The sequence below is a fragment of the Homo sapiens genome, chromosome 17, assembly GCF_000001405.40.
Source record: "Homo sapiens chromosome 17, GRCh38.p14 Primary Assembly".
Classification (NCBI taxonomy): Eukaryota; Metazoa; Chordata; class Mammalia; order Primates; family Hominidae; genus Homo; species Homo sapiens.
The window spans coordinates 39,593,738-39,614,179 of record NC_000017.11 but is presented as its reverse complement, the minus strand read 5'-3'; the positions used below and the strand labels follow the sequence as shown (position 1 = coordinate 39,614,179).

At 56.4% G+C, this 20,442-nt stretch overlaps 1 protein-coding gene and 1 long non-coding RNA gene across 3 annotated transcripts, besides 1 other annotated feature; both read left to right on the top strand.

Annotated features, from left to right (window-relative positions):
- The first annotated feature begins 6,259 nt into the window (after positions 1–6,259).
- Positions 6,260–10,412, top strand: NEUROD2 (neuronal differentiation 2). Its single transcript, NM_006160.4, has 2 exons — positions 6,260–6,452; positions 7,576–10,412. Exon 2 carries the CDS (start codon positions 7,581–7,583, stop codon positions 8,727–8,729), a length of 1,149 nt encoding a protein of 382 aa, NP_006151.3. The 5' UTR covers positions 6,260–6,452; positions 7,576–7,580; the 3' UTR covers positions 8,730–10,412.
- Positions 13,870–14,164: a silencer, noted in NCBI's record as "tiled region #1854; K562 Repressive non-DNase unmatched - State 21:Repr". NCBI's record gives its function as "represses a minimal TATA promoter and a strong SV40 promoter by Sharpr-MPRA in K562 cells {active_cell/tissue: K562}" and the evidence as "EXISTENCE:reporter gene assay evidence [ECO:0000049][PMID:27701403]".
- On the top strand, positions 15,914–19,448 carry LOC105371771 (uncharacterized). 2 transcript variants are annotated; one of them, XR_007065747.1, is made up of 3 exons: positions 15,914–16,318; positions 16,515–16,639; positions 19,274–19,448. It is a non-coding gene; the product is annotated as an uncharacterized LOC105371771 (long non-coding RNA). The 2 variants fall into 2 exon arrangements; XR_934746.3 differs by having other exon boundaries at positions 16,430–16,639.
- Positions 19,449–20,442: the final 994 nt, after the last annotated feature.

The window sequence follows — 20,442 nt, the reverse complement described above, 5'->3', positions numbered from 1 at the left end:
GAATCGCTTGAACCCAGGAGGCGGAGGTTGCGGTGAGCCAAGATCGCGCCATTGCACTCCAGCCTGGGCAACAAGAGTGAAACTCCGTCTCAAAAAAAAAAACAGAAGTCAGGGCCAACTTCCCGGAGGAGGAGGGCCTGGGCCAGGCCCATAAGGCTGAAGGGTTCTGAGATACTGGGGAGCAGCATCAGCAGAGATGCAGCAGCGGGAGCAGGACGCAGCTGTGTCCCTGGACCTCATCTCTCCTCAGAGTGCCCCATGCAGGGCAAGAATGTCGTGGGGTAAGAAGGAGGGGGTTCTGAGCCTGCTGAAAGGTGAAGGTGTGGTGACCAAGCAGGGGGTCCACAGCAGGGCAGGCCCTGTGGCCTCAGGATCATGGCCTGGTACCAGGGAGCAAGAGTCTGGCAGTCCCAGGCTCAGCCTCCTCGCCCTACTTTGGGGGGAATCTGTGACCCCCATCCCAAGTCCACCTCCTCAGACTGCAATTTGTGCAAAAGGCAAGGGAAGGGGCTGAGGACTCTGGGCTTGACCGGGACCCTCAGCCTTTCTGCTTTAGGAGAGTCTCAGGAGAAAGGTTCCAGGACCCAAAGTTTCTGGCCCAGCTGGGCATTAATGCAACAAGCATTTATTAAGCACCAACTCAGTGAGAGCTATGTGCGTGGCACCAGGCAGGTTGAATCAGCCCCAGGCATGGACCTGGGAAGGACTGCCTGGCATAAAGGGTGCGGACTCTTTCTTGGGCTTTTTTTTTTTTTTAAGAGACAGGAGTCTCACTATGTTGCCCAGCACGAAGCTTGAGACTAAAGAGATACAGAACAAGTCGTCACCAGGGTCCAGGCAAGGAGACAGATGGGTAAATGGGTCCTTCTAACAAAGGGTGGTAAGCTCCCCTGCCTGGGGAGGTCAGGGAAGGCTCCCAGGAGGAGGTGTCCAGGAAGCATCTTAGTGAGGAATGAGAATGCATTTGACCAAAGGGAAACTCAGAGACCAGTGCCCATCAGGGAAAGAGCTCTTCTCAGAAAAACAGGGTTCAGAGGCCAGAAGTCAAAGGTTACGGGAGCAAAGGTCACGCCACCTTTAGAGCAAGGAAACAATTCGGAGGGGGCTGGCTTTGGTGCAGGACTGGTGGGTCTCCTCTATCCATCCTTTGTCCCTGATTGGGGGTGGGACAGGGGGACAAGGATGCAACAGAGGTCTGACCTCGGTCTCTCAGCATCAGGCTGGTCCCACCCATCTTTGGGTGGGGTCTAGGCCCACAGTGGGAGCCCAGGGAGCAGGCGGAGGAAGTTGAAGAGAATCCTGGCGGTGAGTGGAGGTCAGGACAGGAGGTCAGCACGGAGGAGGGGGCTACACCTCACTGGCCCTGCCCTCCCCTCCCCCATGGCACCACAAGGCACGCAGCCGCATATCACCCGTGCCAGCCCTCACCTCCCGGCAACGTCGCCGCATTCTCAGCCACGCCATCTGGCGTGCCCGCCGCTCCCCGGCATACTGCGGCGGGCGGGGAGGAGGGGGCAGTGGGGCAGGTGCCCACCCCAGAGCCAGGAAGAAGCTGCAGGTCCCCCTCCCCCAGCATCCTTTGGACTTGATGTGAGGCAGGGGCTGGGGAGGGAGGTGGCAGGTGCTCCGATGCTTTAGGAGGAATCTTCGAGCATCCTGAACTGCTGGAACACTGCTGGGCAGTGCCAGCCTGCCCCCTCCCTTTCCTCCTCCCCCCATAGCACGGCTAATGGCAGGAACACAGGTCCCTCAAGGATCTCCAAATTCCTGCCCTTCCCCTCAAATCTGAGGAGGGGGGTGAGAAGACAGGTGGCCCCTTCCCTCCCCGTGCTCCCAAGCTCGCTGGGTTCTCACCTGCTGGCCCCACTCAGCCCAGAGAGGCCCCAGGAGGTGGATAGATGTGTGGCTGAGGCCAGGGGCTGGACACCTGGGTTTGATCCACCTGCCGCCCCTCTCCCTGCCTGGAGCTTTGGTGGGAAATGAAGTCTCCTTCAGCACATTTGCCCCCACCAATCTTATTGAGGGGGTGGTGACTGGCTAGCTGTCTTTCTGGGTGTCAGAATGGAGTGGAGCAGTTAAAGATTTATGTATGTATTTTGGTGGAGCGGGGGTATAACAAGAGCAGTTTCTAGAACACTCTTCCTGTCCCCTGAGCAAGAGTCCCCCAGACTGCTCAGGTATGACCTCCCACCTCCCCTCCACACACACTCTGCCCCCCTCACCCCTGCCCCCAGGACCTGAGCCTGTACAAAATGGCTGCCACCCCTCTGAGGCAGCCATTTTAGGTGCCCAGACTGTGGCCTCCCTTGGGATGGGGCTATGTCTCCATGGGAACCTCAGGCCCCCCAGCTCCTAGCTCCTTCCAAGAGGAGTGGGCAGCAGCAATGGGGGCCTTCCAGGCCTGGCTGAGGTGCCCATCACTCCCTTTTTTCTCTCAGAGACCTGGAGGGGACCAGGCCCCTCACCAACTCCCTTCCCCCAATGCCAGGGGGAGGAACAGATGGCATCTCTGGGTGTCCTTCTCCTTCCGTCTCCTTCCTTCCATTTCTGGCTCTTTCTGTCTCTCCGTCACTGCATCTCTGCATCTCTGGTGCACAGAGAGGCGCGCGTATGTCCCTGCGTGTTCATGCTTGCTTGTGTGTATGTGAACACACGTGTTGTGCCTCTTTCAAGCCCATGTCTGAAGCAGGCCCATCCCACACCTCCCTCTGTTCCAATTTTCCCCTGGTTTTTATTGTATCTTCTAAAAAAAAGTTGAAATGTGTCGAGTGAGAAAAACTTGTTCCATTTTTCTGAAGGAAGAAAAGACAGGGGCAGGAGACAGAGCGAAAGGGATGAAGTCCCCAGGTGCACACCCCCAACCTCAGACCTCCTTCTCTGGGTGACTGAGGGGAGCTTCTCAGACCCAGAGAGTTGAGGTCATTCCTGACAGGTGGCCGGAAGGGTGGCAGGAACCCCCCAACCAAGGGCTCCCCTATCTTGAACAAGTTTTTGCCTCCTGCCTGTGAGACCCCTGAAGCGTTTAACCCAGCCCTCAGGGTCCAAGGGAGAAGGCAGGGAGAGAAAACTTTCTCCCCTAAGGAAGCATTTATTCACTTATTCATCCATTCACTCGCCCATCAATTCAACAAAAATTCAATTTCTATATAGACCAAGCATTCTGAATGTGTGTGGGGAGGGGTATGAGCAAAAAAAATTAATATTGTAAAGCATTTTACAGTTCCCAAGGTGTTTTAATTAAGAGTTGGCATTTATTGGAGGCTCATTCATGGAATGGATTATCCCATTTAGTATTAACAACAACCCTATGAAGGTGTAGCATAATTTATCCCATCTTACAGATGAGGAAATCAAGACCAAGAGATGTTATATAACTTGCTCAAAGCATTCAGCACTTTTTTTTTTTTTTTGAGACAAGGTCTGGCTCTATCACCCAGGCTGGAGTGCAGTGGCGTGATCACAGCTCTCTGCAACCTCTGCCTCCCGGTCTCAAGCGATCCTCTCACCTCAGCCTCCCGAGTAGCTGGAACTACAGGCATGCGCCGCCATGCCTGGCTAATTTTTGTTTTTTAGGCAGAGGCAGGGTTTCACAATGCTGCCCAGGCTGGTCTCGAACTTGTGAGCTGAAGGGATCTGCTGGCCTCAGCCTCCCAAACTGCTGGTATTACAGGTGTGAGCTACCATGCTGGGCCTCTCATTTTTTTTTTTTTTTGAGACGGAGTCTCACTCTGTCGCCCAGGCTGGAGTGCAGTGGTGCGATCTCGGCTCACTGCAAGCTCCGCCTCCCGTGTTCACGCCATTCTCCTGCCTCAGCCTCCCGAGTAGCTGGGACTACAGGCGCCCGCCACCATGCCCTGCTAATTTTTTGTATTTTTAGTAGAGATGGGTTTTCACCGTGTTAGCCAAGATGATCTCAATCTCCTGACCTCGTGATCCACCCGCCTCGGCCTCCCAAAGTGCTGGGATTACAGGCGTGAGCCACCATGCCTGGCTGGGACCAACATTTTTTTAAGTTGGTAATGGGGTTGGCCAGGAATCAGAAGCCCAGAGCATGGGCATGTAATTGAAATATCACAGAGCCAGGAGACTCCAGGAAAAAGGCTACTAGTCAGGATTGAGGACCCTGCTTCAGTAAAAGGATTGCAAAGCCTTGGAGGCTGTGCCCAAACTTGGTGGAGGCTGGCCAGCACTCCTGAGTCTCTGCCCTACCTGAAGCCCATCCTTTGGCCTCTTTCTCTGCCATGCCCAGAATCTCCCCACCACGACTATCTGCCAGAGATGGGATTCGCCTTGCAGACCCAGGATTCGTGAATGAAGGGAAGCATGGTAGGCTTATTTTTAGAGACCACTGAGGCAGATTGTGGGCTTATAAGTGGAGTACTGGTCTGTGGGTCAAGTGCCTGAATTCTAGGCCCAGTTCTGTGTTTCCCCTGTGTGTTCCTAGGCAGGTCAGTTTCCCTCCATGGGCCTCTGTAAGATGAGGAGTTGGAGAGGTACATTCTCAGGCTACTTTCAACTCCCAGCCAAGTGACTCAAGAGTCCCAGGCAGCACCAGCACCCCTATCTCCAAGGCCTCCTGATGTGTGTCTCTATTTAGAACTTAATCCAACCTACCCAACATCAGATCAGTGTCTTACCAGCCCAAGGTCCCTGGGGAGCCTCCTAGAGGGAGAGAGCCCTGCCCACCCAGATTGAGGGTAAAGGCCTCCCCGTGCTCATTTTTGTACCACCACAGTGCTTGGCACATGGTAGACATCAAAATGTGTGTGCTGAAAGTATAATTGAAGTTGTGTATATATGTCAGCTAGAGTGTCTGGAGGGGCAGAAATGTGGGTCTAAAACATACAAATGCTCCAAATGGGGTGTGGGCAAGGGTCTGTCTACACCAGGCTGTGATTACCTGCTCACATACATGTGTCTATCTGAGTAGGGGTATGTTATCTATTTTTCTACACCACAGGGTGAGGAACAGGTATATGTGTGCATGTGTATGCATCCGTGTGTGTGTGTATGTGTGTGTGCATGAGTGTGTGTGTGTGTGTCCAAAGCCACCTCTTCAACCTGTGCCATTTGTATCTGTGTCTGGCCCAATGAGAGTGTTGAAAGGTGAGCCACAAGATAAAACAGCAACTTCCTACCTCCCTTATCAAGACAGCTGTCTGACCTACCTCCCCTTGGCCACTCTTGGGATTACTGGGGTTGGCTTCAGTATTTTCAGATTTTTCAGAAGGGGAGGAGAATGCTTGAGTCTCATCCAGGAACTTAGGCAGTTCTCAGCACTGCCTGCTCCTCCTCCCTCAAATAACCAAGTCTGAAGACCAGGAGAGAAAGCCGCTGGTGGACTGGTCACCTGTCTGGCAGTGGGAGGAGGAGAGTGAGAGGTTTCTAGGTTAGGAATCCAGACTTAGACCCTCCCCTCCACCCCCAGATGGGTGGTGCACAGGCTCATCTCGCGGCCCCTCCCCACTCCACCCTAACATGGATACGCCCCCAACAACCAAGGAAAGATCTCCCATCGGCTGACTCCACAGATACACACATGTCCCCACAGACACACACACGCCCATGCAGAGGCACAGACATCCAGGCACATCTTTCCCTTTCTCTGTCTTTCCCTTGGTTTGAATTTCGTTTAGCCACATATGTTGTGTGTGCGTGAGGGTGGGTGGGGGAGGGGCAGACAGGGATGAGGGATGGCATGGTGCCAACATCTACCTATGGGGCTCGGGCCAGGGACGCCCCTTACAGCCATCCTGGGAGGGGGTCTCAGCTGTCCCTTTGTGGCCAAGGGGACCCTCCTGGGGAGTGGGGGCAAGCACAGAGGTCCTTTCTCCCCAACCCGGGGTCTGGTCCCTGACCCACCTTGGGGGCCTGCAGGGGAGGAAATGGACAGAGCGGGACCCTGAGGGAGCATAGAATTGGCCACCACGAGCCCCCAGTGTCCAGCCTTGCCACCCCATTGTTCCCGTGAGGGGGTCTCTATATACAGGGGGCAACTCCTCCCACCTTCCTCTCAATCCCTGCTTTCCCTGCGTTGGGCGGGGAGGGGAGGGCGGCAGAAATATTTATTTATTTCCTTTATTTATTTAATTTTTTTTTTTTTTTTTGGAGTAGAGAGTGACAGATGGCGGCGGGTCCCGGGGGAGCCGGCTCTCCCCCAGTGCAGACGCATGCCAATCACCGTCTCTCATGTGATAGCTGCTGCCCGTGACGTGCCAAGCCCATATGGCCTGGCATAGAGGCTGGTACCCCGCCTGGTAGAGATGCCACACTCGCTCCGCGGTTCGCATGGCGCTCTGAAGACGCCGGCGCCCGCCGCCTTGAGGAGCCGCTGCCCCCGCTCCCTGAAGATGGGGGAACAATGAAATAAGCGAGAAGATCCCTCTTCTCCCCCCTCTCTCTCTTGCCCCCTCCCCCCCTCCCCTCCCCTCTCCCCTTGACTCCTCTCCGAGGTAAGTTGTCCGAAAGGGAGCGAGATCTGACCCGCCGGTTGGGAGGAGGGGCGGCAGCTTCGGCCGACAGGAGGGTCCTCAAATACCTCCTTCCTGGGATGATGCCCCCCTCATTGGGTGGGCATCGGAGGGGCCCCAGGTTCTCTCTCCCTTAGGGGCTGCAGCCCAGGGGGCTGCAGAGGAGGTGTCTCTGCCTGCGATGGGCTCGGTGGGGGGGGAAGGCAGGATCACGGAGGGGGATATGCGAAGAGGCCGAGACGGAGGACCCCTCCATGGTTGTCCCAAAAAGCCTGCCACCTTTCCCCACCACCGAAAAAAGGGAAGCAAACAAACAAATTTGGATTTTTCCCCCATCAATCCCAAAATACAACGAGATCTGAAGAGCCTTGTGGGAGGGAGTCAGCTTGAAGGGGGAAGGGGGTCCCTGACCGCAGAGGGGACGGACTGGGCTCGCTTCTCTCAGTCTCCTCCCCACGCCCCGCTGCTTCAGTCCTCGCCGCCCAGAGCCGGCTCCGGGAGCTGGGGACGCATCGGCTAGAGGAGACGATCCTCCCGCCTCTGGAATTGGGGGTGCGGGGGTGGGGGCCGAGCAAGGGGCGGCGCGCAGCCAAGTTGCAAATTGGATTAGGGAGCGTGGGGGTGAGAGCCACGGGAGGGGTGAGGGAGCTGGGCCGGGGGGCCCGGGCCGCGAGAGCGCGGAGCGGGGCAGCTGTCCCCACCGGCGGCCGACCAGCCTCTCTCCACCGCCAGGAGAGAACGGGCTTTCAGGGCGAGCGCGCCGCCTCCCCTGGCAAAGATATCTGGTCCCTAAAACCCCCACCCGGTCCCTGCCCTGACCCTGAGAAGAAGCAGGCGCGGGGAGCAGCCCCCCATTCAAGCGAGGGGCGGAGCCGGGGCCCAGCGCCGGGGAGAGGGCCTGGGCCGAGATCCCAGGCCGGCAGCCGGGTAGGGCTGGGCCGGCTCTGGGCGGGGCAGGCGGCGGAGGTGGGCATCCAGGGTAGCCTAGGCAGGAGCCCGCACGAGACTCGGGGGTGGAGGAGGGTTGTGGGGGGGCGTCGGTACCCCAGCGCGCCCCTCACTTTGTGCTGTCTGTCTCCCCTTCCCGCCCGCGGGGCGCCCTCAGGCACCATGCTGACCCGCCTGTTCAGCGAGCCCGGCCTTCTCTCGGACGTGCCCAAGTTCGCCAGCTGGGGCGACGGCGAAGACGACGAGCCGAGGAGCGACAAGGGCGACGCGCCGCCACCGCCACCGCCTGCGCCCGGGCCAGGGGCTCCGGGGCCAGCCCGGGCGGCCAAGCCAGTCCCTCTCCGTGGAGAAGAGGGGACGGAGGCCACGTTGGCCGAGGTCAAGGAGGAAGGCGAGCTGGGGGGAGAGGAGGAGGAGGAAGAGGAGGAGGAAGAAGGACTGGACGAGGCGGAGGGCGAGCGGCCCAAGAAGCGCGGGCCCAAGAAGCGCAAGATGACCAAGGCGCGCTTGGAGCGCTCCAAGCTTCGGCGGCAGAAGGCGAACGCGCGGGAGCGCAACCGCATGCACGACCTGAACGCAGCCCTGGACAACCTGCGCAAGGTGGTGCCCTGCTACTCCAAGACGCAGAAGCTGTCCAAGATCGAGACGCTGCGCCTAGCCAAGAACTATATCTGGGCGCTCTCGGAGATCCTGCGCTCCGGCAAGCGGCCAGACCTAGTGTCCTACGTGCAGACTCTGTGCAAGGGTCTGTCGCAGCCCACCACCAATCTGGTGGCCGGCTGTCTGCAGCTCAACTCTCGCAACTTCCTCACGGAGCAAGGCGCCGACGGTGCCGGCCGCTTCCACGGCTCGGGCGGCCCGTTCGCCATGCACCCCTACCCGTACCCGTGCTCGCGCCTGGCGGGCGCACAGTGCCAGGCGGCCGGCGGCCTGGGCGGCGGCGCGGCGCACGCCCTGCGGACCCACGGCTACTGCGCCGCCTACGAGACGCTGTATGCGGCGGCAGGCGGTGGCGGCGCGAGCCCGGACTACAACAGCTCCGAGTACGAGGGCCCGCTCAGCCCCCCGCTCTGTCTCAATGGCAACTTCTCACTCAAGCAGGACTCCTCGCCCGACCACGAGAAAAGCTACCACTACTCTATGCACTACTCGGCGCTGCCCGGTTCGCGGCCCACGGGCCACGGGCTAGTCTTCGGCTCGTCGGCTGTGCGCGGGGGCGTCCACTCGGAGAATCTCTTGTCTTACGATATGCACCTTCACCACGACCGGGGCCCCATGTACGAGGAGCTCAATGCGTTTTTTCATAACTGAGACTTCGCGCCGGCTCCCTTCTTTTTCTTTTGCCTTTGCCCGCCCCCCTGTCCCCAGCCCCCAGAGCGCAGGGACACCCCCATCCTACCCCGGCGCCGGGCGCGGGGAGCGGGCCACCGGTCCTGCCGCTCTCCTGGGGCAGCGCAGTCCTGTTACCTGTGGGTGGCCTGTCCCAGGGGCCTCGCTTCCCCCAGGGGACTCGCCTTCTCTCTCCCCAAGGGGTTCCCTCCTCCTCTCTCCCAAGGAGTGCTTCTCCAGGGACCTCTCTCCGGGGGCTCCCTGGAGGCACCCCTCCCCCATTCCCAATATCTTCGCTGAGGTTTCCTCCTCCCCCTCCTCCCTGCAGGCCCAAGGCGTTGGTAAGGGGGCAGCTGAGCAATGGAACGCGTTTCCCCCTCTCATTATTATTTTAAAAACAGACACCCAGCTGCCGAGGCAAAAAGGAGCCAGGCGCTCCCTCTTTCTTGAAGAGGGTAGAAGTTAGGGCGCCGGAGCCCGGGCCTGGAACGCCCTCACCCCCAACCTCCAGTCTCCGCGTTTTGCGATTTTAATTTTGGCGGGAGGGGAAGTGGATTGAGAGGAAAGAGAGAGGCCAAGACAATTTGTAACTAGAATCCGTTTTTCCCTTTTCCTTTTTTTAAACAAACAAACATACAAAAAAAAAAAAAAAAAAAAAAAAAAAAAAAAAAAAAAAAGCTAAGAGGCGACGGAAGCCGAACGCAGAGTCCGGATCGGAGAGAAAACGCAGTAAGGACTTTTAGAAGCAATAAAAGGCAAAAAAAACAAAAAACAAAAAAACAAACAAAAAAAAACCACTACTACCAATAATCAAAGACACAAATATCTATGCAAGGAGGCTCCACTGAGCCTCGCGGCCCGGCCCGGCCCCGGGATGCCCCGCCCGGCCTGCGGGCCGCCCCGCCCGAGCGCGGATCTGTGCACTTTGGTGAAGTGGGGGCCCGCGCCGCCCCCTCCCCCTCCCCAGGTTCTTACAATCAGTGACTCGGAGATTTGGGGCCCCAGTGCCACTGCCCTCCCCCGCCCCGTCCCCGTTGTGCGTCATGCTGTTTTTTAAAAACCTGTTTCCAAATTTGTATGGAATGGCAAACTGTTGGGGGGTCGGTTTGGGGAGGGAGGGTTTGCATGAAAGACACACGCACACCACACCGCACGCACAAGCAGGCCCGGCGCCGGCGTCCGGGGGGCAGAAGGAGGTGAGCTCGCCGGCTCCTCCTCCCCGCGGCCATTCTGTCCCCTCCTGGGGTGAGGGGTGGGGATGGAGACCTGGGGGCAGCCCCACCCCTGCCCGGACTGTGCCTCGGTGGGTGCCACCTGGCGATTTCCGGTGTCTGGAGAGAGTATTTTTTGGTCCAAGGAGTCCTCTTGGCTTTAGCTGGTGGGTGGGCGGGGAGAGGTCTGAGGGCTCCTACTGGAGGTTCCCCCAAAAAGGGGCAAAAGGAGACCCTCTGCCCACCGGAGGCAGGGGATCAGGCATCCAAATACACGATGCAAAAATGCAATCCCACAGGCGACACACCCACACACTCACCCACACACACGCAATTTTACCTTCCTCTTGTAGCGAAGATGAAACTCCCGTCGGACACCCGAAGTGCATTGCGTGTTTCTGTTCAGTTTAATGACGATTAATAAATATTTATGTAAATGAGATGCAAAGCCGGACCGGTTTCTCACGGTGGCCTCATTTCATTGAGGGGGGAGAGAAGGTTTGAGCTGGGGCTGGGGTGATGAAGGCAGAGTGTCAAGTGACTGTGCAGAGGCCAAACAGAGGGACCCTGGACATTCTTGGGTAGTATTCTCTCCCTAACCACCCCCCATACACCCACTGGGCTATACTAGCTACCCCTCCCAGACCCAACCCAGGCTCGCACCTTCCCAGCACTAAAGCACTGATATCCTTACACTTCTTCATTCCTGAACATGCACAGGCACCTCCCTTGAAAACAAAATACCTTTTCATCACTGAAAAATGATCAAGTTGGGAACAGCCAGTCATTTTACAACTCTCTGCCCACTGTTGCAAAAAGCAAGTGGGCAGAGACAAAGAGACAACCATTTGAATCAGACAGGGGTATTTTTAAACAAAACAAAACAAAACAAAACAAAACATTATAAGGTCATGAAGATGAAATATTAATGAGGGAGGCCCCTTTTTCATCTTAAAATTGTATTTCGGTGGACTCAGGGGAATCGGCCATTTTGGTCTCAGGAATGTTGACATGTTTAGGGGTGTGGACAAGGTTGGAGGAACACCCCTAGAGGTCTGTGAGGTGGCTGAGTCTGGGCGCCCACCCAGTAGAGAGGAGCCTAACCATGTACTCCCTGGGACAGGGCAGCAGGCGCCCACCCAGTCCAAATCTGGGCTGATTTCTTCCTGTCTGGTACAGTTCTGAACAGAGGGAACCCTAAGGGCTTAGAAGGGAGGAAGGGCACTGGGTGAGCATCTCCTGCTCAGACAATGTGGCCTCACAATTCTTTTTTCTCTGAACCTGAGAGGCAGGGGCAGCTCTTAACTGACTTCCCTGATAGAGTCCCTCCTACTCCCCCTGCTCAGCCCTCAGTGCATGCTGTAGCCCTAGAATATTTGAAGAGGGTTCTGAGCCCCAAAGACTCCCATCCTAAAGCCTGAACACATTTAGGAGTCCCCCAAAGAGGCTGTTTCTGATGCTGCTCATTTAAATGATTTCTCCAAACACTGTGACTCATTTTAGGGCTGAAGTGGGGTTTGTAGTGTTGGGGTTGAGGATTAAGGTCAGGCATGCAAAGGCTTTTAAAGATTGGGTCCAAGAACCCAAAATAATATCTCCCTGACAAGCAGGAAAGGGAAAGATTGTTGAAGAAGGAAGTCCTATATATTGAAGGGTGGATCAAATTATACTCTGAACTTGAGCTCATTGCATCCCCTAAATGTCTGTCCTCAAACCTCTTCTGTCCCCCAGTAGAAAGAATACCCTCCCGGTGGTCAGGACAGCTGTCGGCAGAGGCGCCAAGGCCAGGAGCTGTCCACTGTGGCATGCTGACCCTCGTCTAGTGTCTTTTCTTCTGGCTGCAGAGGGAGGTCCATTTGCCTGACCCAGGGGAACATGGAGCAGGAGGCCCTTTCCAATGCTGCACTGGAATTCTCCAGCAGTTTTCAGAACATTTACCAGCATTCTTTCAAAATTTCACTGCCTTCTCTGGAATTCTCCCGGCATCGCCTCTCTAGAGTGAGATCACAGACTAGGGCCTTCATCCCCCGGATGTGTCCCTGTCTTCAGCATCTTAGAAACCTCTGAATCACTCCTATTCATGGAAGAAAGGAGTTGGCCCATCTTCCTTCCCCCTCACTTATTGCAGGGAGTGTAGAGCAAGGCACATACCCCAGATCCTAACCTGCAAAAGTCTGATCTGCACTCATGGCGTGGAGCAAGGCCTGGCAGGGGCAATTGCAGAGAAAAGGAACTTGGCACTTATCCCGAGGCCTGATTCTTATCCTGCCCTGAGAACAAGGTTAATTGGGCTTCTCCCCTACTCAGTCAGTTTCCTAGAACCCGCTCAGAAGTCCAGAGCTGGGCGGGATCCAGGTGGCTTGGGGCCTGAAGCAAAGGACCCCTCCATGTGGCTCTCCTGGCCAGACCACAGACTTCTTTCTATGCATTGTTCTTCAGCTACCCTACGTGGCTCAATTCTGTTTTTGAAGCCAGATTCCAGCCCTTTTAGAAAGATGCTGATGACTTTTGGGCCTCTGTGAGCTGTGATCACATTGGGTGGGGGTGCACAGGTCCCTTTTGGGACAGAAATCCCCCCGAGTGACTCAGCTTCTGGTGAATCCCGGCATCCACACCAGTCGCCCCTTTCCCGATTTCTGACCCTTCCCCCCACATTCCCTGCACTCTGGCTGGCTCTAGCCTCTCATCACCCTCCTCCCCAGTGCTCAACTTCCCTGGCGAGATGGTGTGATGAGCAGGAGAAGAAGATGTGCGCGGACAAGCGGCCCCAAACGTCCCCTCGCAGGTCTCTTTCTCTTGCTTGCTCTCCCGCCTGCGCACACACACCCAGAGATGCTCCAAGAACAGAAGCAGGGGAGGGAGGAGGAAAGGGGCCAGCGCTGTGCCTGGCCTGGGGAGAAGGCACAGAGAGGACGCCCTTCTTGCCCTAGCCTCAGCGGCAGGCTCTCCAAGCGTCCACCAGCCGGCTCAGCTCAACCCCTGGGCCGCTGAACCCGACGGCTGGATCCAAGTTCAATCAGGAGGACATCTTCCTCTTGATTTTCCAGACCCCATTCCAAGTCCAGCATTTGGAAGATGACAGAGAAAAAGAGGTATCTCCGAGTCCAGGCCATTTGCCCATCTGGCGGGAAAGGGAAGGAAAGCAGTTACTCCCTGTCCCTTCACTGTTGAGCTCCATTCCTGTCCCTTCATTGTTGAGCTGCGTTCCAGCCATGACTCGGACAGTGAGCTATGGACCCCCAGTGAACCCCCAGCCCTGATTTTGTGACTCGGGGAGACAGCCCGATAAATCACTGCGGGACACCGACCCCCAGGAGGATCAGTGGCAGGAAAACCCTGATACTCTGGAAGCTCCACGGGGCTGTGCCTGCTTCTCTTTTTCCCTTTCATGGGAAAGTCCACAAGCTGGTGGATACAAGAATTTCTGGGCAGAGGTCAGAGATTTCGTTCTCTCTTGGCAACCTTTGCTTCCTCCTCTTCCCCAGAATCATTGACAGGAATTCATCTGCTCTGAGGAGAGCCATTGATTTGAGGGGGGATTGAGACTAAGGTATGGTTCTAGATTCTGCAGTTTAGTCCTTAAGGCACCTGAGGAGAAAGAGAAGGCAGACGCCAGGACTGAGCAGCTTTAGCCTGACCTACCCTCCCAACCCCTCCATGACAACAGAGGGGCAGCGCGGAGGGACTGCATCTGACCTGCTCCAGTGTGCTCAAAGGAGGATGCTGCTTTTTGCGAAAAGTGGGAGGGGCAGATGGGCCTCTGCTGTCAGAACAGGCTCCCCAACTCACAGCCCAAGACACTGTCATTTTTCCATCCTTCAGGGCTGGGATACCCAGGCGCTGGCCACGGGGCCAGAGCAGAAATGACACCTGAACTGTGAGAAACCTTAAAACCCTGCCCCGGTTCTGAATCCTGAAGCAGCTTCTGCCTTTCTGTCCTGCAGCTTTAAAAATTCTCGACAAAGTTTCCCTGGGTGAGAAGTGGTAAGAAAGGGCGCAGCTGCCTTGGGAGGGCTGTTCTGCTCTGGAAACTTTCTCCAACCTAAAGCACTGGGACAGGGGCGCCAGCCCTGGGAGTGTGGACGTGAGAAGAAGGCCAAGACCGGGGCTGGGTTCACAGGAAGGAGGGCAACGGATTTCAGGAGGGAGATGCGAGGAGCGGAGTCACCTTAGTTCCCTAGGGCAGGGAAGGGAAGCTGGGGCGCTCCGAGGGGAGGAGAAGAGGGAACCTCTAGGCGCCGGCCATGCCCAGGGAGCTGGGGCACAGCGTTGGGTGGAGACGCTGCCCAGATGTGAGCCAGGGTATGGCTCTAGCGCAGCCAACTCTCCTGCCCTCTCCAGCGCGGGAGCGCAGCGAGGTCTCCCCGCGCTGACAGGGGCTGCGGAGTTCCATACCAGAGTGTGTGTCTGGTGTTCGGGTATTTAAACCTCTCTCCCAGCTTCTGTCAGTATCTGTCTGCGTCTCATTCCTCTTTTCGGAATTAATTGAATTAGGAACGGGTCTTTCCGGGTCTCTTCCGCCTCCCGCCTGAGGCTGAGCTGGCCAGGAGGCCAAGGCTGCTAGGTCAGGTCCCACAGGGGTCGCGGGAACCCCCGAACCCCTTTGGGGACCTGCATGCCAGTTCCTACTCTTAGCCAAGTCTTCACCAAGGGCACAGCTGGGCGGGGTCTGGGCAGTTCGCCCGGTTTGGGACATCTGTTCTCGCCAGAGTCGCATTAAAAGCGAGGGGTGGGGGTGGGGGGCTCAGAACCAACCCCTCAAGCCTGAGCCGGTGCCCCCTTTCTTGACCGCAGGCGGAGGCAGGAGGGCACAACGGACTCACATAGTTTTTTCCTTCTCCCTTGGGAACAGCCCGAGAATGGGAGTGAGGGCACTGGGGCTTTCTCTCTTCCCTTCATCTCTCCCACTTCCCAATCAGATGCCACATCCAGCCTCAGTCTTGGAGGGCAGCAGGGTACCCCTGCCCCCAGGAGCCGCAGGGGAGCCCCTGGAGGGGCCCGCGCCGGGAATACCGCGGAGGCTGCCGGCCGGCCGGGCTCAGAGCGGATCCCGCTTGCAGCGAACTCGCGCTCGGCCGGGCTCCCAGGCCGAGGCTGGGGCGCGGCGCAGGGGGAGGGTTAAAAACAACTCAATTAAAATATCAAAAACATTTGGGTTTATATGGAATGGAGGGCGGTGCTTTAAAAAATATATCGGAAGAACCACAAAGAGCCAAAGCAAAACCAAACCAAAATCCTTAACTACTGATAATCTTGTAGAAAAAGACAGAAAAATCCCGCAGACACTTCTCCCTGGTACCACCACGGAAAAGCTCCCTCCTGGCCAACCCCAGCGCCCGGACGCCCCTTCACCACCCCAGAGCCCTGGCGCTGAGCCCAGGTCGCCCCCTGCCCACCCTCGCGCGTTGGTGCCAGTCTGTGCCACTCAGCCGGTGCCCGGTGCCCGGTGCCAGGCGCGGGGGGAAGGCGGGGAGGAGCCGAGGCTCCAGCTTAAATTCCATGGCATCTGTTCATTATTATACAGTGAGGATTTTTATATGGACAGCTAAATTAAAGACAGATTTTTGCCAGAATTGCAGATCCCATAAAAATGATGACACAGGATGGGGGCTTTTTCTTTTAAAAAAAGAAAGTAGGAAAGATTAAAAAACACAACCCCACAAACCACAGCCCAAACCCCTCTGTGCCCCCTCCTCTGTCGTGACCAGTTTCTTTGCCCCCTTTTTCTTCGTCCACTAAGTAGGGATGACCAGGGAGAACCAAACCCCAGGGCTGTTCATGCCCAGCCAGCTCACAGATGCCCAGTGACCAACCAGCTCACTCCCACAGCCGCTGGCAGGGGCAGAGGCAGGACAGCCAGGTCAGGCGTGGAGGGCCAGGGTGGGACAGGAGCAGGAATGGGGTCCGCTCTGGAAGGCAACGTCAGAAAGGGACAGTAGCCAGGGAGACTTGACCTTTCTGTGTTCCTAAATCAAAGGGCAGGCTGCACTTTTGGCTGGTGGCCAAGGTTCTGGAGGCAGCCGGTGAGGACCAGGCATGCAGTGCGAACCGCTCGGGGCACCGGACAGCATCCACTTCCCGCGCACCCACGAAGAGGGCAATATAAGAACTGGGCACTCAGCACGATTTGCAATTCATGGGAGTTCTGGAATTTTGAATTTCAGAGGTTCTAGAATGCTGGAACTTGCACCTTGGTGGTGTTCTAGAACTCTCAGGGATACTGGATTTCTAGAACTACAAAAGGGTCCTGCGTGAGGGGACAGATCTCGCGGACTTTAGAGTTTCTCTCTGCCACCACTTAACTTTGAAGCTCCGTGATGATGTTGTGGGGCCCTTGGGGCCGCTGAAATGTCTGGGCAGGTAACACAAGGAGGAGAGGAAGGGGGGCATTCATCGGGGGCACGGGGACTGTCCCCCCAAATTAATGGGAGCTTTTCTTATTTTTCTTTCTTTTTTAAAATATGTTTTCAGGGAAGAAAAATATCTGTAGAGTTCTGCGTCTTCCAGACAATTGCTCTATCTGTGTCTGTGTCTGTCTGTGACTCTGTCTGTGTAGCTGTCTGCTTGTCTCTCTCGGATTCGGAGCTGACAGAATTCATATCAGAAGAGTGAACGCAGGGACATCTGTGTGCGGAATGACTGTGCTGCTCGAACCTGCCAATCGCTCCTGGCACGAGCTGGGTAACAAATGCCTGTTACCTCGGAATGCTGGCGGGTGGGGGGGAGGGCTCCTGGCACCACCCCGACTGCGAAGCCCTGCCAAGGCCCCCTCCTGCCCGCTGTGGGTCCCGCCCCCTTCCCTGAGTTGGGGGTCCGTGGAATTGGATTATTCATTAATTAGCAGTGATTAGAAAATTTGGGTGTCTCTCAGCCAGGGCCAACCCGGTCTTCTCCACCTCCCTAATCTCAATCCCTACTCCCCTCCCGTCCTCCCCCCACGTTTTCCGGATTAACTCGGGGTTTCTACTGAGGGCAGGCAGCCAGTTGATGGTGATGGGGGGCGGCTCAGGAATGCAGGAAAAGGGGTCTCTAGAGGAAAGAATTCCTCCAAAGTTGCCAGGAGGAGTTTCTGTCGTGAAGTGTGAGGGTCCGTGTAGAGGATCTTCGTAGACGCGGTGGCTGGGATGGGCTGTAGGGTGGGGCAGAGGTCGAGAAGGACATAGACAGTGGAGAGATGGGAGTGAGTGGATGCGGGAGAAGGGAAGGAAGGACACAAGGGAAGAGGTCCGAACAGCGCCCAATGGTTCCCTCCGCGCTGGGAGCCGCCACTGCCACGCCGCGGGCCTCCCGGGCCTCCTGGCCCAAGCCTCCAGCCGTGCTCCCGGATCCATCACCCGGTTTTGCTATTGGGAGTTGGGGGAGGAGGAGGGCGCCACGCCACAGCCGGTGCCAGCTGCGGGGGTGGTGGGGGGAGTTATTGCGAGGAGGGGCGGAGAGCACATCTAAAATTCCGAGACATCTGTTCACCCAGGGAGGAGACACCGCGCGCAAGAAGGCTGGGCGCCCCCGCCCCATCCGCTCTGCAACTGATTGCGCCAGGCCGGGACCTCCGCACCCGAGGCCACCTACGCGGCCAGTGCGGGGAGGAGGAGAGGAGGGCGTCAACCGCGGGATCCAGCAGGGGCAGGGGGTGGGGGCGCGGGAGCTGCCGCCCCACTGATGGATTCTTAGAAGGGGAGAATCGTGGCTCTGGGGAGGGCTGTGTAGGGAAGACGTCCTGAAAGGGAGGATGTGGAGGGACGTTGGCTGAAATAGATCCCCTTCGCCAGCTCCCTCACCTCCTGCTTCCCCACCCCCTCCCACATACCAGAGCACCCACAGACACCCCCACATACACACATACACACAGACTCCAGTCAGGACACACTCGGATAGAAATCTCCAATTCCTGTGAACGCACGCAAGTCTGCATAACTGGCCCCTTTCCCACTCCATCACTTATTCATTCAAGCAACTTTATTGGGTGCCCTGTCTGTGCCAGGCCTGGGCTGGGTATCAGGAAACACCTTCCTGCCCCTCAAGGCCTGGTGCGCACATTCGGATACCCAAGTGCATAGGCGCACACATTGCCCTCACACTCACCCTGACTCTTTGTTCTTATAGAGGGGTGGGAGCTGGAGGGAAGGAGTTCCAGTAGCAACACGCTCCCCCTCCTCTGTAAGCAGCTTCACCGGGGAAATCCAGCACAGGGTCTGGGGGACCCAGCAGGGAGTCCTGGACCCACTGCCAGCCACTTGCCACTTTCTTACCTAGTCTCTATTGGCAGGAGCCCCTGCCCCAGGTTTTACTTGAAGAAGCTCCAGCCTCACTTCCCGCCAAACCTCAATGACCACCCCTCTCTCTTTGGTGCCCTGGCCTGGCACCTGCCCCTCCACCAGGGCTGCCCTAGCTGCACCAACAGAGGCCAGGCCTCTCGGCTGGGAAATGTCCATGTGGTTGCTACTTAAAAACTGATTTATGAGGCCGTGGAGGCTGTGGAGGCTTGGCCTGCGGTCCTGGTAGTAATCAAGGGCATATGCCCATCTTGCCTGGCACTGCCCAGCTTGTGAGCCCAGCCCTGGCCTCTGCTCTTCTGCTGGGAAGAGAGAGGCATAAAAGGCACTAAGTCTCCTTTCTTTCCAAGCCATCTCTCTCCTCCTCCACTCTCTTTCCTTTCCTCCTCCTCCTCTTCTTCCCTTTCCTCTCTCCCTCCTCCCTTCATCCCTCCTCCTTCCCTCCCTCCCTTTCTCTTCCTTCTCTCCCAAGTGGCACGGACCAGCCTGTGTGCCGGGCTGGCGCTCACAGCTGCAGCCCATCTGCTATGATTGAATGGTGACAGTGATGAGACAGGAGCTGGGGAGAATAGGGGGACATGGGGACTGCCCTGCCACCCCTCGCCCCTCCTAGGCCAGTCTCCACATGCTTCTTTGACCTCCAGCAGGAGACCATCCATTCTGCCCATGCAGGGTGGGGGAATCCCACTCTAAGTAGTGAGGGAATTCCTTTCCTTCCAACTAGATTCCTGAGAATAAGAAAAGGGACAAGAAAGGAGCAGAGGGTGAGTTGAAGAAAGTGAATGAAGAGAAGGAATTGGGATTGGAAGAGGAGTCTGGAAGAAATGACCCAAACCCACACAGGCTTGGGTGGGGCCCGGACAGGAGCACTGCATGGGGCAGATGGCTGAGGCTCCAGGCTGGATAGGGAGGCACTGATGTAGGTCCAGGGTCCAATTTCTTCAGGAATCCAGGAAAACCTCCGTGACAGCCTCTGGTGGGAAAACTCAGTGACCTGTACCCTAGACTTTTCTTATCATGGGGTATTCGCTTTGCATTCCAGAAAACCTCTTGGCTGCCTCTCTTCAGGAGTAAATTTGAAGATCTAAGAAATCACAGTCCTCCATGTGTGCAAAGGAAGACCTAAAAGTGTTGAACCTAAGGGCATAGCAAGAAGGTCTAGTTATGCGTGAAGAATTCCTGAACTGGGCCGGGTGCGGTGGCTCATGCCTGTAATCCCAGCACTTTGGGAGGCCGAGGTGAGCAGATCAACTGAGGTCAGGGGTTCGAGACCAGCCTGACCAACATGGAGAAACCCCATCTCTACTAAAAATACAAAATTAGCCGAGTGTGGTGGTGCATGCCTGTAATCCCAGCTACTTGGGAGGCTGAGGCAGGAGAATTGCTTGAACCTGGGAGGCAGAAGTTGTGGTGAGCCAACATCATGCCATTGCACTCCAGCCTGGGCAACAAGAGCAAAACTCTGTTTCAAAAAAAGAAAAAAAAAAAAAAAGAAATCCCCAATGATCCAGTGCAAAACCAAGATGTAACAACAACAACAATATGGAAGGTAACATACACTTGGAGCTTGTGATATGTTAGTAATTGACTCAGCGTTATACATGAGTTGATAATCCTCTCAACAACCCTATGAGCTTGGGACTGTCATTATACTTATACCACAGACAAAGACACTGAGGTAGATGTGCCCAGCTGGCAGCCTAGGCCTTCTTCCTCTTTTTCTTTCTTTTTCTTTGAGACAGGATCTTGTTCTGTCACCCAGGCTGGAGTGCAGTGGTGAGATCTTGGCTCACTGCAACCTCCACCTCCCAGGCTCAAGCAATCATCCCACCTCAGCCTCGCGAGTAGCTGGGACTATAGGCATGCACCACCACACCCAGATAGTTTTTTATATTTTTGTAGAAATGGAGTCTCGCCATGTTGCCCAGGCTGGTCTCAAACTCCTAGAGTCAAGTGATCCACCCGCCTCAGCCTCCCAAAGTGCTAGGATTACAGGCATGAGCCACCATACCCAGCTGAGCCTAGGCCTTTTTCTCAAATTGTAGGAAGAAAAGAGAATAACAGAAGGTCCAGAACTTTCTAGAAGACGATCCAATATCCTTTTCTTCCTACTTACTCCTCTCCCTCTGCTCTCTTCTTCCTTTTCCTCTGCCTGCTCCTCATCCTCAATTAACCCAGTACCCACTCTCCAGGGCCTACCCAAGCATGTGG